This window comes from Homo sapiens, chromosome 18 (genome assembly GCF_000001405.40).
Source record: "Homo sapiens chromosome 18, GRCh38.p14 Primary Assembly".
Taxonomy (NCBI): Eukaryota; Metazoa; Chordata; class Mammalia; order Primates; family Hominidae; genus Homo; species Homo sapiens.
Window position 1 is genome coordinate 10,980,451 of NC_000018.10, and position 18,120 is coordinate 10,998,570.

The 18,120-nt window shown below is 35.9% G+C and overlaps 1 protein-coding gene across 11 annotated transcripts in view; it reads right to left on the reverse strand.

Moving 5' to 3' along the window:
* Positions 1–18,120, reverse strand: part of PIEZO2 (piezo type mechanosensitive ion channel component 2) — a 479,323-nt gene that overhangs the window by 310,204 nt on the left and 150,999 nt on the right. The window lies entirely within an intron of this gene.

Below are 18,120 nucleotides of genomic sequence, written 5' to 3' on the forward strand. Positions count from 1 at the left end.
ATCAGAGAATGATCAAGGCCACTTGATATGAATGCCACTAATTAACATATCACTGGATGTACTGGTCAATGCCATAAGATAAGAGATACAATGAAGATTGTTAACTAGACTTATTTGCAGATAATATGATCAAATGGAATTATTTTCAGATTATATATCATCATCAACAGAGAACGCCAAACTAACTCCATGACCAACTATCAGAATATAAGAATTTAGAAAATGATTCAGATACAAAATCATCTTACAAAAATGAACATACCTCTTCATTAACAATAATCAAAAAGAAATAAGATGCAATTTTATTAGCAAAAAAATTGAAAAGGTTTTGTCAATGTGTCAATTTGGCTAGGCTGTAAATCACAGTTATTTAATCAAATACAAATCTAGGCACTGCTGTGAGTTTACAGATGTCATGAAAGTCCATAATCAAAGTGGTTAACTAAGGGAGACTATCCTCCATAACCTGGGAAGGCATGATTCAATCCACTAGAAGGCCAGAAAACTAGTCGGAGGTGTGTGTGTAAGTGAGAGAGAAGAAACTGTCACTTGTGGAGAGTAACTTTACCCTGTGCCCATGATGTTCTCTTCCTGACAGCCTGCACTACTGACTGTGAACTTCCTTAGCCAGCTTATATATCAATTGTGTAAGCCAATTCCTTGTAATAAATCATAGAGAAACATTAATCGTATATATATATGTGTATATATTATATATTAATAAAACACCTGTGGATACTGCTACACTTGTTGGACCTTGACTGATAATTTTTTTTAAAGTGTTATGTCATAGTTTCATTGACAGTTTTTTGTTCTTTCATAGTGACATATAAAATAATGGCATCTTATGTAACACATAATAGATATGAAATCCATAAAATATTAGCAAAATAGATCCATTAATATATGAAAAAGATAATATATTGTATCTAAGTTGGGTTTAATCCCAAAAATGCAAGATTGTTTTCACTTAAGAAATCAATTAATGTAATTCACCGTATTAGCAGATTAAAAGAGAAATAGCATTTGATCTTCTACCTAAGTGAAGAAAAAGGCTCTGAAGAAAATTCACCATCCAGGCATGATAATACTCATGGCTGACTAAGAATAGAAGAGAATCTCTTTAACCTAGTGTGATGGTTAATACTGAGTGTCAACTTGATTGGATTGAAGGATTCAAAATATTGTTCCTGAGCGTGTCTGTGAGAATGTTGCCAAACGAGAGATTAACATTTGAGTCAGTGACTGGGAGAGGCAGACCAACCATCAATCTGGGTGGGCACCATTTAATCAGCTGCCAATGTGGCTAGGATAAAAGCAGGCAGAGGAATGTGGAAGGACTAGACTGGCTAAGTCTTCTGGCCTCCATCTTTCTCCTGTGCTGGATGCTTCCTGCCCTTGAACATTAGTCTCCAAGTTCTGCAGCTTTTGGACTCCTGGACCCACACCAGTGGTTTGCCAGGGGCACTTGGGCCTTCAGCCACAGACTGAAGGCTGCACTGTCAGCTTCCCTACTTTTGAGGGTTTGAGACTGGGACTTCCTTCCTCCAAGCCCACAATCCAAATACCTCCCATCAGGCCCCACCTTTAGCATTGGGGGTCAAATTTCAACATGAGACCTGTTGAGATGTCAAACATCCAAACTGCATCAGTAGGCATATTTGTCTTTTCTTGATTTCAAAGAGAAAGCTTTCAAGAGTTCTATTATGCAAAATTTTGCAGCAGCTTTTTGCTTATTTGTTTGTAAATATCCATTACTAGGTGTATTCGGGTTCTCTAGAGGGACAGGACTAATAAGATAGATGCATATATCAAAGGGAGTTTATTAAGGAGTATTGACTCACACAGTCACAAGGTGATAAAAGTATTTAAGAATTAACCTAAAAAAGAATGCTTAAGACCGTTCTTGACAAAATTGTAAAAAAAAAATAGAAAAACAAATAATAGGTATAAATAAGTGAAGAGATCTGTTACATGCATGAATGAGGTGACTCAATATGATAAAAATGTCAATTTCCCCAAAATTTAGTCTAAAAATTCAGTACAGTTTAAAATAAAATGCCAGTAGAAACTTTTACACCTTTGACAAGTATATTTCAAAATATGTAAGAAAAGAATGCTTTGAAGAATTTCAACAAACATTTTAAAAATACATTTGGAAAAATAAGACTGAATTGCCATGTAAATTTTGAAATTTTGAAGAATACGATCGAAAGTGGGTGAGGTTGGTGTATCATAGCAGATATTAAAATATGTTATAAAACCATATGTTTATTTATTTTTTTTTTGAGACAGGGTCTCACTCTGTCACCCAGGCTGGAGTGAAGTGGCATGATGTCGGCTTACTGCAACTTCCACCTCCCAGGTTCAAGCGATTCTTGTGCCTCAGCCTTCTGAGTAGCTGGCATTACAGGCGTGCACTACCAAACCTGACTAATTTTTGTATTTTTGGTAGAGATGGGGTTTTGCCATGTTGGCCAGTTTGGTCTCAAACTCCTGACCTCAAGAGATCCGCCTGCCCCAGCCTCCCAAAGTGCTGGGATTACAGGAATGAGCCACCGTGCCTGGCCAAAACCATAAGTTTAAACAAACAGAAACTTATATTCCTTAGGGAGAGGAAAAGAAGTCAATTGGAATACCATATATTGCTCAGAAACATACCAGTTTATTTATATTAACTTGATAAATGTCAAAGCCAACTCTACAAATTGAGAGGAAAAAGGGCAGAAATGGTATCAGCAAGATGGCAGAATAGGAGGTTTTGGCTCTCATTTCCACAGAAACACCAATATTGGCAAGCACCCATGGACATGAATATTTTTGTGGGAGCCCCAGAATCTGGCTGAGTTTCCAGCCCTACTGTGGAACAAAAAACCCAAGAGTAAAAATATTAAAGAGGATAAGTAGTTTCACTTTACCAATGTCACCCCTCCCTCAAGGTGGCACAACTTGGTATCAACAGAGGCCTGATTGGCCTGCAATTTCTACTACTAGGGAAAGTGAGTGATGTGTGTGCCTAATTTTTGCGGTCTTGTGAAATGTTAGCTAGCTGGGAGGTCCTTTCTGTCTCACTTCACCCAGAGCACTGAAGGAATAAGCCTAGGAGCAGGGAGAAGAGAGTGCACAACAACTGGTGTCCAATTCTCTACAGCCAGTCACAGTCTCTACTAATCAGCTCATAGACTCCACCAAGAGACCCACCACTGAACCCCACAGGATGACTTGCCTGAGGACCCCCACAACCAACTGATGAACTTCCCCAGCACCCTGTGCCACCCTTTCCTATGGAAAGCACCTTGTACATCCCTGTGCATGGCCTGCACAAGCTCCTTCAGATAGCACACAGATCTCAACATGTACAAATATTAGCATCTGGCTTGACACTACTGGTGAGGGAGAAGGTATACAACGTTCAGTACTTCAGGGCATTGCCTTAGGGAATATAAATTGAATGCTATCAGTACCAGGCCTGGTTTTGTTGGATAGAGAGAAGGCACACAATCCTAAGATTTCTTTCTTAATAAGGAATAAGAAGAATGGAGCAGGTGCATCCATAGAAAAGTTCTGAGAGACTCCCAGAATCTCTAACCCGGTTCACTGGTGAAGATCCTTCTGGCCCAAAGCCAGTCAGTAAATACTGGAGAAGGTGACTACTTCTTCAAATTTTAAGACATCTTTTTAAAAATTCAAGAGAATGAATAATCAAAAAAAAAATTCAAAAATTCAAGAACATGAAGATTCAAGAAAATATGACATCACCAAAGGAACAAAATACAGCTCTAGTGGCTGACCCCAAAGAAATTAAGACTTACAAATTAGCTGACAAAGAATTCAAAATAGCCATCTTAAAGCTCAGTGAGCTACAAGGGAGTATAGATAAACTACTAAATTAAATTTTTAAAAATATATTAATAAAATGAGACATTCAACCATAAGAAACCAAAAGAAAGAACCAAACAAAAATTATGGAGCTAAAGAATACAATGACTTAACTGAAAAATTTAATGGAGAGTTTCAACAGCAAACTTGATCAAGCAGAATAACATCAAAGAACTCAAAGACAGATTATTTGAAATTATCCAGTAGAGGAACAAGCACACAAAAAAATAATAAAAAACGGTTTTTAAAATCCTATGGGACTTACAGGACACTATCAAGTGAACCCATATAAACACTGGTGTTTAAGAAGTAGTAGAGAAAAATAAAGGGGAAGAAAGCTTTCTTAATGATATAATGACAGAAAACTTTCCAACCCTGTAGAGTGAAACAAACATACAGATCCAGGAAGCCCAAAGGATTCTAAAGAGGTTGAGTAAAAAGAGGTCTTCATAGAAAAGCATTATGATCAAATTGTCAAATTCTAAAACAAAGAATTTTGAAAGCAGCAAGAGAAAAGCAACTTGTTACATACAAGGTTACCTTCAAAAGGCTATCAGTAGATTTCTCATCAGAACTCTTACAGACCAGGAGAGAGTGGGATAATATATTCAAAGTGCCAAAGAAAAAAATGTGCTAACCAAGAATACTATACCTGTCAAAGCTGTTCTCCAGAAATGAAGAACAAAGACTTTCCCAGAAAGGTAAAAGCTGGGAAATTTATAACCACTAGAACTGCCCTATAAGAAACGCAAAAGGGATTTCTTCAAAATGAAATTGAAAGACACTAATCAGCAACGTGAAAATATATGAAGGTATAAAACTCACTGGTAGAGATAAGTTCATTTTCAAAATCAGAATACCGTAATGGTGATATGTAAATCATATTGAACTCTAATATAAAAGTTAAAATACAAAAGTATTAAAAATAACTATAGTTAAAATAATTTGCTAATAGATATAAATAGAAAAGATGTAAATTGTGACTCTAATAAGAAAAAGCACATGGGAGTGAACAGGTAATTTTTGTATGTGATTGAAATCAAGTTGTTATTAACTTAAAACAGATTGTTTTGTGTGATCCAATATTCCCAATACCATTTATTGAAGAGACTTCCCTTTCCCCATTGTGTATTCTTGGAGCCCTTGTCAAAAATTAGCTGACCATACATGTATGGGTTAATTTCTCATGTCTGTATTCTATTCCATTGTTCTATTTGTCTGTTTTTTATGCCAGTAGCATGGTGTTTTAATTACTATAGCTTCGTAATACAATTTGAAATCAGGAAGTGTGATGCTTCCAGCTTTGTTCTTCCTGAAAAAGATTGTTTTAGCTATTTTGGGGTCTTTCATGGTTTGTTTTACATAAGACTCATGATAATTACAAAAGACAAACCTGTAGTCGATACACAAAAGATATAAAGGAATCAAAGCATACCACTACAAAAATCATCAAATCACAAAATAAGACAGGAAGAGAGAAAGAAGGGAGGAAAGAAATTACAGAACAGTCAGTAAATAATTAACAAAATGTCAATAATAGGTCCTTACCTGTCAATATTTACTTTAAATGTAAATGGGTTAACTGCTCCCATTAAAATATATAGGGTAGCCGAATGGATAAAAAAAAATCCAGCTATACACTGCCTACAAGGAACACACTTTATGGACACACATAGGCTGAAAATGGGATGGAAAAAGATATTTCTGCAATGAAAAGACAACAGGATTGGGTATTCTTGTATCAGACAAAATACACTTTAAGTCAAAAACTCACACAAAAGAAAACTTAGGAATACATAGCTTCACTGTTGAACTCTACCAAATATTTAAAGACGGACTAACAGCAATCCTTTTCAAACTCCTCCAAAAAGTTAAAGGGGAGGAAACACTTCCAAACTCATTCTATGAGTCCAGCATTGCCTTGATATCAATGACAGAAAAGAATTCTACTAGAAAAGAAAATTACAGGCCAATATCCCTGATGAACATAGAGGTAACAGTCCTCAACAATATACTAGCAAACTGAATTCAATGACACATTAAAAGGATTATATACCATAATCAAGTGGAATTTATCTCTGGATTGTAAGGATGATTCAACATACACAAATCTATAAATGTTATACACCACATTAACAGAACGAGTGATAAAAATCTCAATAGATGCAAAGAAAAGCATTTAGCAAAATTCAACATCTTTTCATAATGAAAACTTTCAACATATTAGATATAGAAGGAATGTACCTTAACACAACGAAAACCATATATTATAATACCACAGTTAACATCATACTCAAAGGTGAAAAGTTGAAAATTTTTCCTCTAACATCAGGAACAGTAGCACACTCTTGCTGCTTCTATTTGACATAGTATGGGAAGTACTAACCGGAACAGTTATGGTAGAGAAAGAAATAAAAGACATCTAAGTTGAAAAGGAAGATATTAAATTGTTCCTGTTTTTAGATAATATAATATTATGTTTTGAAAAACCTAAAAATCTACCAAAAAAACTATTAGAACTAATAAACTCAGTAAAACAGCAATTAACGAAATCAATGTATAAAAATCAACTGTGTTTCTATACACTGACAATAAGTTTTTCAGAAAAAAATAAACAAAACGACTTACAATAGCATCAAAAAGAACAAATACTTAGGTGTAAATTTGCCAAGGAGGTGAAAGATCTGTACATTGACTAGTATAAAACATTGTTGAAAGAAATTAAAACAAATACAAATAAATGAAAAATATATCCCATGTTCATGGACTGGAATAATTAATGTATTTAAGATGCCCATACTGCCAAAAGGAATCTACAGATTCAATGCAATATCTATCAAAATTCCAATGACATTTTTCACAGAAATAGAAAAAATTATCTTAACATATGTATGGAACCACAAAAGACCCCCAAATAGCTAAAGCAATCTTGAGGATAAGAACATAGCTGGAAGCATCACACTTTCTGATTTCAAATTATACTACAAAGCTATAGTAATTAAAACAGTATGATACTTACATAAAAACAGACACACAGAAAAATGGAACAGAGGAGAGACCTGAGAAGTTAACCCACAAATGTATAGCCATCTCATTTTTGACAAGGGCTCTTAAGAATACTCAGTGGGGAATGGATAGTCTCTTCAATAAACAGTATTGGGAAAATTGGATTACCATGTACAAAATAATAAAATTGGTCCCTTATCTTACACCATATACAAAAATCAACTCAAAATGTATTAAAAATATGAAATTACAAAACACCCAGGAGAAAACATAGGGAAAAGATTCCTTGACATTGGTTTTGGCAATGACTTTTTGGTTATAACACCAAAAGCACAGGCAACAGAAGCAAAAATAAGTGTAATTACATGAAATTTAACGACTTCTGCACAGCAAAAGAAACAATCCCTAAAATGAAAAAGTAATATAGGGAATTGGAGACAATACTTGTAAACCATATATCTGATAAGAGGTTAATATACAAAATATATAAAGAACAACTGAATAATGAAAAAACAAATAACCACATTAACAAAAAGGCAAAGGACCTGAATAGATATTTCTCCAAAGAATACATACAAAGAACTAGCAGATATACAAAGAACTGGTCGACATCACTAATTATGAAGGAAATGCAAAACAAAACCACAAGTTGAGATACCACCTCTGCTGTGGTCTGAATGTGACCCCCAAAATTCATATGTTGAAACTTAATTACCCAAGTGATAGTATTAAGAGGTGGAACCTTTAGGATGTGATCAAGACATGAGGGTTGAGCTCTCAGGTATAAGATTAGGGTCTCTATAAGTGTTGAGAAAATGTATTCATTCCCGTTCAGCCATTTTGCCATGTGAGGACACAGTGTCCATCCCCTCTGGAGGATGAAGCAACACAGTGCCATTTTGGAAGCAGAAAGACCAGGGTCTCACCAGACACCAAAGCTGAAGGCATGCTGATTTTGGACTTCCCACCCTCTGGAACTATGAGTAATAAATTTCTATTCTTTATAAATTATCCAGTCTGTGACATTTCGTTTAGCAGCACAAATGTATTAAGAAAGCCTCACACCTGTTAAGATGACTATTTTTGAAAAACAAAAGATAACAAGTGTTGGAGAGGGAAACATGGAGAAAAGAGAACTCTTATATACTGTTGGTGAAAATGTAACTTGGTAGCTCCATTATGAAAAATAGTATGGAGATTCTTAAAAATTAAAAATAGAACTGCTAAATAATCCCACTTCTGGGTATACATTCAAAATAACTGAAATCAGGATGTCAAAAACCTATCTGCACACCCATGTTTACTACAGCATTATGCAAAACAACCAAGATATGGAAACATCCTAAATGTCCACTGAAGGAATATTGGATAAGGAAATTGTGGCATATACATACATAGAATATTATTCATCCTTAACAAAGAAGGAAATCATGCCATTTGCAACAATATGACTAGACATGGAGGGAGGGCATTACGTTAAGTGAAATAAGCTAGACACAAACAAATACTACATGATCTCATGTATATGTGGAATCTAAAATAGCCTAACTTGTAGAAGCAGAGAGTAGAATGGTGGTTATAAGGGGCTGGGGGTGGAGAGCAGGGAAATGGGAGGCAATTGTCAAAAGGTACAAAGTTTCAGTTATGCAAGATAAAGAAGTTCTGAAGATCTACTATACAGCATAGTGATTATAGATAACAATACTGTATTGTACACTTAAAATTGCTACAAGGGAAGATCTTAAGAGATCTTACAAACAACAAAAACACTAATAATAATAAAGGAAGAGAGAGGAGACTTTGGAGGGTGGCAGATATGTTTATGGCTTTGATGGCGGCAATGATTTCATGGGTGTCTATCATCAAAACTCATTGAAATGTATACATTAATTGTACAGATTTTTCTATGAGAATCATACCTCAATAAATCAGTTTTAAAAAGAAAACAATAGGCTATCTAGAAGACAAACTAGATCAATACATATAGAAAAAAATAATACTGGATCCCTGCCACAAAAGTGGTCTCCAGATCAATAAAGACCTAAGTCTGAAAGATTAAATTCTAGAGTTAACAGATGAAAATATGAAATAATAACTGTGACTTTGGAGTGACGAGTGTGTTCTAAAGCAATACGCAAAAACATAAGCTCTAAGACAAAAAAAAAAGGAGAGATGGATTTGACTGCACGGAAACTGGAGATTCAACAAATGCCAACATAAATAATATTTACAGACAGATGAATAATTAGGGCATCTAAAATGTATATGAAATTAATATTTAGAATAGATAAGGAACTTCTGTGTGTCAACAAGAGGAAGAAAGGTCAACCCACAGAAATACGTGTAAAACATCTAAGTCAGCAGCTTACAAGGGAAAATCTGAGGGGGAAATATGTTTATACAGGGAAGCTAAAGCTATTGTAGATAAATTATAACTAAATCACAAATGAATGACATTTTACACCCCACAGATTAGAAAAAAATCATAATAGGGAGTTTTTGTAAAGAGAAACAACATACTGGTAGTAGAGTGAAATTGATACAGCCTTTCTGGAAGCCATTACTTAAGTATGCCTAATTCTCCGACCCAGTCATCACATTCCTAATTATAAACTCCAGATAAATTTTTACAGCAGGACTACATGGAGACGAATAATGACATTTACCACATTATTGTGTGTAGGAGCAGGGAATTGGAGATATACTAATTTTCCACTTCTGAAGAGATGAATATGTAAAAATGTGGTGAACATGTATCTTGAAATATTTTTAACAATTAGATGCATTAAGGCAGAACATCAAACAACATAGCTGGTGCTTGAAAAAATATTATGTTAAAATGGTAAGAAACAAAAGGAGACATAACACAAAATCATTTAGGTAAATTAAGGATATAATAACATGTATCTTACAAATATGTTTATGTATATTTTAAATGTGTGTGAGACACATTTGATTAATTTCATATGAGGAGATGGGAAATAGGAGTGAGAATTGGGTGTGAACAAATAAGAGTAACTAAATAAAATAAGACAAGCTCTTTGGTTAATCCTCTAATAAAGTTATTCTGTGAATAGAACAGTAAATTGCTTCAACTCTCTCCACTCAAAGCTGGAGAGGAGTAGATACATACTGAACATTCTGGGCCTTGGTCTGCCCCCGTCCATGCAGCTTTGGGGTATTAATCAGACAAGCCCCAAGCCCTTGAAACTAAAATTTTCATATGAAAGTTTACTTATAAGACAAATATATACATGATAATTTTATTATACATCTGTAGATTTATATGTTTATAAATGTTACATATTTACATAATGCCAAAGATATGTGCTCAATATATGTATATTATATAATTTTATATTTAAATATATACGTGTACACACACACACACCCCTATATAGAAGTTACATTATTTTTTTTTCTAATAATGATTTTTCTTCTTTAGACTATTAATGTAGTAAATAATATATATTGAATTTCAAATGTTGAAACTGCCTTGCATACCTGAAATAAATTACACCTGGTCTTGGTGAATAATTCTTTTTATGCTTTTTTAGATAAAGTTGACAATATTTTGTGAAAAATATTTGCAAGCCTGTTCATGAAAATATTAATCTGTAGAATGTGTAGATTTTATTTTTTGTAGTATATTTATCTGGTTTGGTATTAAGGTAATCTTAGTTAAGAAGTGTTTCCTCTGCTCTTATTTTCCGAGGAGATTGTAAAGAATTGATATTGTTTATTTATTAATTGTTTTATAGAATGCACCAGTAAAATCAACTATGCTTGGTACATTCTTTTTGTTTTTGGAAGGTTTTATACACACACACACACACACACACACACACACACACATACATACATATATACATATATATATACACACACACACACACACATTTTTTTTTCTTATACTTTAAGTTCTGGGGTACATGTACAGAATGTGCAGTTTTGTTACATAGGTATACATGTGCCATGGTGGTTTGCTGCATCCATCAACCTGTCACCTACATTAGGTATTTCTCCTAATGCTATCCCTCCCCTTGCCCCCCACCCCCCGACAGGCCCTGATGTGTGATGTTCCCCTCCCTGTGTCCATGTGTTCTCATTGTTCAACTCCTACTTACAAGTGAGAAGATGCAGTGCTTGGTTTTCTGTTCCTGCGTTGGTTTGCTGAGAATGATGGTTTCCAGCTTCATCCATGTCCCTGCAAAGGACATGAACTCATCCTTTTCTATGGCTGCATAGTATTCCATGGTGCATATGTCCACATTTTCTTTATCCAGCCTATCATTGATGGACGTTTGGGTTGGTTCCAAGTCTTTGTTATCGTGAATAGTGCTGCAATAATCTTACATGTGCCTGTATCTGTATACTAGAATGATTTATAATCCTTGGGGTATATACCTAGTAATGGGATTGCTGGGTCAAATGGTATTTCTAGTTCTAGATCCTTGAGGAATTGCCACACTGTCTTCCACAATGGTTGAACTAATTTACACTCCCACCAACAGTGTAAAAGTGTTCCTATTTCTCCACATCCTCTCTAGCATCTGTTGCTTCCTGACTTTTTAATGATAGCCATTCTAACCGGTGTGAGATGGTATCTCATTGTGGTTTTGATTTGCATTTCTCTAATGTCCAGTGATGATGAGCTTTTTTTCATATGTTCATTAGATGCATAAATGTCTTCTTTCTAGACGTGTCTGTTCATATCCTTTGCCCACTTTTTGATGGTGTTGTTTGTTTTTTTCTTGTAAATTTGTTTAAGCTCTTTGTAGATTCTGGATATTAGCCATTTGTCAGATGGATAGATTGCAAAAATTTTCTCCCATTCTGTAGGTTGCCTGTTCACTCTGATGATAGTTTCTTGTGCTGTGCAGGAGCTCTTCAGTTTACTTAGATCCCATTTGTCAATTTTGGCTTTTGTTGCCAATGCTTTTGGTGTTTTAGGCATAAAATCTTTGCCCATGCCTAGGTCCTGAATGGCACTGCCTAGGTTTTCTTCTAGGATTTTTATGGTTTTAGGTCTTATGTTTAAGTGCTTAATCCATCTTGAGTTAATTTTTGTACAAGGTGTAAGGAAGGGGTCCAGTTTCAGTTTTCTGCCTATGGCTAGCCAGTTTTCCCAACACCACTTATTAAAGACAGAATCCCTTCCCCATTGCTTGTTTATGTGAGGTTTGTCAAAGATCAGATGGTTGTAGATGTGTGTGATTTCTGAGGCCTCTGTCCTGTTCTATTGGTCTATATCTCTGTTTTGGTACCACTGCCATGCTGTTTTGGTTGTTGTAGCCTTGTAGTATAGTTTGAAGTCAGGTACCGTGATGCCTCCAGCTTTGTTCTTTTTGCTTAGGATTGCCTTGGCTATGCAGGCTCTATTTTGGTTCCATATGAAGTTTAAAGTAGTTTTTTTCCAATTCTGTGAAGAAAGTCAGTGGGAGCTTGATGGGGATAGCATTGAATCTATAAATTACTTTGGGCAGTATGGACATTTTCATGATATTGATTCTTCCTATCCATGAGCATGGAATGTTTTTCCATTTGTTTGTGTCCTCTCTTATTTCCTTGAGCAGTGGTTTATAGTTCTCCTTGAAGAGGTCTTCACATCCCTTGTAAGTTGTATTCCTAGGTATTTTATTCTCTTTGTAGCAGTTGTGAATGTGAATTCATTCATGATTTGGCTGTTTGTCTGTTATTGGTGTATAGGAATGCTTGTGATTTTTGCACATTGATTTTGTATCCTGAGACTTTGCTGAAGCTGCTTATCAGCTTAAGGAGATTTGGGGCTGAGACGATGGGGTTTTCTAAATATACGACCATGTCATCTGCAAACAGAGACACTTTGACTTCCTCTTTTCCTATTTGAATACGCTTTATTTCCTTCTCTTGCCTGATTGCCCTGGCCAGAACTTCCAATACTATGTTGAATAGGAGTGGTGAGAGAGTGCCGGTTTTCAAAGGGAATGCTTCCAGTTTTTGCCCATTCAGTATGATATTGCCTGTGGGCCTATCATAAACAGCTCTTATTATTTTGAGATGCGTTCTATTGATACCTAGTTTATTGAGAGTTTTTAGCATGAAGGGGTGTTGAATTTTGTTGAAAGCCTTTTCTGCATCTATTGAGATAATCATGTCGTTTTTGTCATTGGTTCTGTTTATGTGATAGATTACGTTTTTGTTGTTGTTGTTGTTGTTGTTGTTGTTTTGAGGCGGAGTCTCGCTCTGTGGCCCAGGCTGGAGTACAGTGGCACGATCTCGCCTCACTGCAACCTCCGCCTCCCGGGTTAACGCCATTCTCCTGCCTCAGCCTCCTGAGTAGCTGAGACTACAGGCGCCTCTCACAATGCCCGGCTAATTTTTCTGTATTTTTAGTAGAGACGGTGTTTCACCATGTTAGCCAGGATGGTCTCGATCTCCTGACTTCGTGATCTGCCCGCTTCGGCCTCCCAAAGTGCTGGGATTACAGGCGTGAGCCACCGCTCCTGGCCATGTCTCTGCTTTTTTTTTATTATTAATTTTAAAATTTTTCATTTCCATAGGTTTTGGGGAACAGGTGATATTTGGTTACACAAGTAAGTTCTTTGGTAGTTATTTGTGAGATTTTGGTGTACCCATCACCCAAGAAGTATACACTGAAGCCAATTTGTATGCTTTTATCCCTCGCCCCTTCCCACACTTTCCCCCTGCGTCCACAAAGTCTATTGTATCATTCTTTTGCCTTTGCATCTTACAGTTTAGCTTCCACTTATGAGTGAGAGCATGCGATATTTGGTTTTCCATTCCTAAATTACTTCATTTACAATAGTAGTCTCCAATCCCATCCCAGTTGCAGTGAATGCCATCAATTCATTCCCTTTTATGGCTGGGTAGTAGTCCATCACATATATGTTTCTTTATCCACTTGTTAATTGATGGACAATTCCCATTTTTGCAATTGCAAATTGTGCTGCTATAAACATGCATATGCAAGTATCTTTCTCGTACAATGACTTCTTTTCCTCTTAGTAGATATCCAGTAGTGGGATTATTGGATCAAATGGTAGTTCTACTTTTTGTTCTTTCTTTTTTTTTTTTTTTTTGATACTGAGTCTTGCTCTGTTGCTCTCTATTGCTCAGGCTGGAGTGCAGTGGTGTGATCTCGGCTCACTGCAACCTCCGCCTCCAGGGTTCAAGCAATTTTCCTGCCTCACCCTCCCAAGTAGCTGGGCTTACAGGTGCATGCCACCATGCCTAATTTTTTTTTGTATTTTTAGTAGAGACGGGGTTTCACCATGTTGGTCAGGCTGGTCTCAAACTCCTGACCTCGTGATCTACCCGCCTCAGCCTCCCAAAGTGCTGGGATTACAGGTGTGAGCCAGCACACCCAGCCTACTTTTCATTCTTTAAGGAACCTCTGTATTGTTTTCCACAGTGGTTGTACTAGTTTACATTTCCACCAGCAGTGTAGAATTGTTCCCTGTTTGCCAGGCACAGTAGCTCACGCCTGTAATCCCAGCACTTTGGGAGGCCAAAGCGGGCGGATCACCTGAGGTCAGAAGTTCAAGACCAGCCTGGCCAACAAGGTGAAACCCTGTCTCTACAAAAATTAGCCAGGTGTGATGGCAGGTGCCTTAGTCTCAGCTACTTGGGAGGCTGAGGCAGGAGAATTGCTTGAACCCGGGAGGCGGAGGTTGCAGATCTCAAAAGCCGAGATCGTGCCACTGCACTCCAGCCTGGGCAACAGAGTGAGACTCCGTCTCAAAAAAAAAAAAAAAAAAAGAAAAGCGTTCCCTGCTCATCATATCCATGCCAACATCTATTTTTTTTTAAATTTTTTGACTATGGCCATTCTTTCAGGAGTAAGGTGGTATCAAATTGTGATTTTGATTTGCATTTCCCTGATCGTTAGTGATGTTGAGCATTTTTTCATATGTTTGTTGGCCATCTGTATATCTTCTGAGAACTATCTATTCATGACTTTAACCCACTTTTGGATGGGATTGTTTGTTTTTTCTTGCTAATTTCTTTGAGTTTGTTGTAGATTCTGAATGAGTTCCTTTGTCGGATGTGTAGATTGTGAAGATTTTCTCCTACTCTGGGGGTTGTCTGTTCACTCTGCTGACTGTTGCTTTTGGTGTACAAAAGTTCTTTAGTTTCCACATAAAACTCTACTTTGGTGGTAAGAAATCAAGCTAAATGAGTTGATTACATTGTAGAGTGAGGAGAGGAAATTCTGAGAAGTTCACTTAAAATATTGAGATACCAGAAGTTCAATATCTCTGGGTCCACATTACACAAACCCATTCTGGAGAAAGTTATTTCCCAGTAGCCCAAGAGAAGTTTCCATTAAAACCTGTGCAACTGTTAACTGTCAGTCAAAGCTGTACCACGAAAAACCACACATCTCACATAGGCCTCTTTCCAGTGACTGTGTTCACCCCTGCCCTCCAGGGCTGTGGAGTTGCTGCCATGGGGCCACTATGCTGATTCTCTGCTTGCCCTGGACTCAGGACAGTTATTTTTGTTGACTTGAAAGCCTCAGGGCATACTGCTCACATGAATCTAGGGCTGAGAAGCCCATAAAATGCCCTCAGGAAAAACATGTGATTGCTATAAAAAAATGAAGCTTAAAGATCTAAAATGTCATAAAAGAAAACAAATAACTAAAATATCTTGTGTATTTCATTTTAAAATGCATTGTATTCATATTTTTCTACATTTTGAAACAATAGAGTTTGGGCAAGTAATCAGTTACTTAAACTAAAACTCAGCTTAATAAAATTGAATTTTATTAGCCTTTAAAACAAGCAAAAGTTTAAAATAAATGGAAGCATAAGAAAAGGAGAAATATCTTTTGATTTGTTCTCAATTCCACCGTAGTGTTTGTTGCTTTCACTGAAGAGAACAAGACCCTCAGAGACATTTTCTTAAGATCAGTTAAATAATGTTTATGTATGTGCTATAAACAAGTAGGTTTTATTTGTCAAGTATTCCCTTATAGTCAGATTTCTTGAGTGCAAATATGTATTAATTAAGGTGAAATTCACATAATAAAAAATAGATCATTTCAAGTTGAATAATTCAATGGCATTTAGTCCATTCACCATGTTGTGCAATTATTTGGAAGTAAATAACTTCCAAAACATTGTCGTCACTCCAAAAGCAGCCATTAAGCAGCTGCTCTCCATTCCCCCATCCCAACCCCTGGCAACTGTAAGTCAGCTTTCTGTCCCTATGGATTTTTCACATAAATGTAATCATACAGTATGTGGCCTTTTGTGTCTCACTTTTTTCACTTGGTATAATGTTTTCAAGGCTCATTCACCTTGTAGCATGTATCAGTACTTCATTCTTTTTATGGCTAAATATTATTCCATTGTATGCAGGGAATTTTTTTCATCCATTCACCTATTTGGGTTGTTTATACAGTTTAGCTACTGCTGCTGTGATCATGCACATACATGTATTTGTTTGAGTACCTGATTGCAATTATTTTATGTACATACTTTATATATCCAGTTGCAAAAGTGAACTGCTTCTGCTGCTTTGAAGGCCTCTAACTCTCCCATCCCAAATTTATATCTCTGACCAAAGGAGCTGTGGGGAGGGGTCCCAAGAACTAAAGATTAAAGGAAAAATCCTTATGAGAAGAGAGCAAGAAAAATTATCATCTAATTTGTTATAAATCAATAAGAGTCCCAGTGTTGCCCCAAATCATGCACTCATGGAACAGCCCTCAAAAAGCTTTGAGACCTGAACTGTGACATAAAGAACTGTCCAACTCCCAAACTGATAATTGAACGGTGCATGTTCAAGAGAGACCCAAATGTTATGGCAAAGGTTTTGAGAACTGAACTGACATTGGAACCACTACTCAGAGAGTGAGACAAAGCTTTCAGCCTGAGACCAACCAGATTGACTGCCTGCAAAAAAAAAAAAAAGAAAGAAAGAAAGAGACAATGAAAACTTAAACATTCTGCAGAAGATTTTAATATGACCCAGAGTCACATAACGTAATATTCAAAATGTCAAGGATATAATCCCAAATTATTTGATAAACAAAGAACCAGGAAAATCTGATCAATTATCAATAGAAAAGACAATCAACAGATGCCAACCCTGTAATTACACAACTGTTGAAGTTATTAGAAAATGATTTTAAACCAACCATTATAACCAGGCTCCATGATGTAAAAGTAAACCATGTTGAAATAAATATAAAGATAAACATTATCAGCAGAGAAATACAAACTACAAAAATTAATCAAATAAAAATATTAACAACAGAAAAAATACAACACTGTATCTGAAATTAAACATTCACCTAATGGTCTCAAGAGCAGAGTGGTAATGACAAAAAATGAGTTAGTAATGATGAAGAAATTAATAGAAATTACCCCATCTGAAGAACAGAGAGCAAAAGATTGAAAAAAGTTAATAAAACCTCAGAGACTTAAGGGACAAAATAAAAAGGTCTATCATTTGCATCATTAGAGTTATCAAAGGAGAGCAGAAAGATTGGTTCAGAAAAAAATTTGGATAATACAGTATTTTAACATTCCAGAAATTTGGTGAAGACATAATGTACACATTCAATAAGCTCAGCAAATCCTAAGTAGGATGAGCTCAAAGAAACCACTCCCAGATACATAACTAACCTGTTGAAAAACTAATATAACTAAAGAATGAAAACAGAGAAAAATGTCACATTATGTGTAGGGAGAAAACAATTTAAAGACCACATATTTTTCATCACAAACTATGAAGACTAGCATACAGTGGAACAATATCTTTAAATCTGCAAAAGAAAAGAATTATAAACTTAGAATTTTATACCCTGTGAAACTGTCCTTCAGGAATGAGGCAAAAAGAAAATATCCTCAGAGGAAGGAAAATTAACCTGCTATCAAAGCAATGCTAATGTAAGTTCTTCAGCCTGAAGGGAAATGGTACCAAAAAAACACGTGGAATTCATGAAATGAAGAAGAGCAACAGAAATGGATTAAAAAGATATTTGTTTACACACACACACATACACATACACACACACACACACACACACTCCTTAATTACAGTCTTGCTCCAGTTAATTCATGGAATTTCTAGAAAAAAATCTCTCTTTTTTGGATTTGGAAATACTTGGTGTGTACAGAAATAATTGAGGGTATTATGTTGCCCACGTGTTTTAACTAGGCACCTTCATTTATATAAGAAATATGAGTATATTTAAATCTGAATAATTCAAAGATGTGT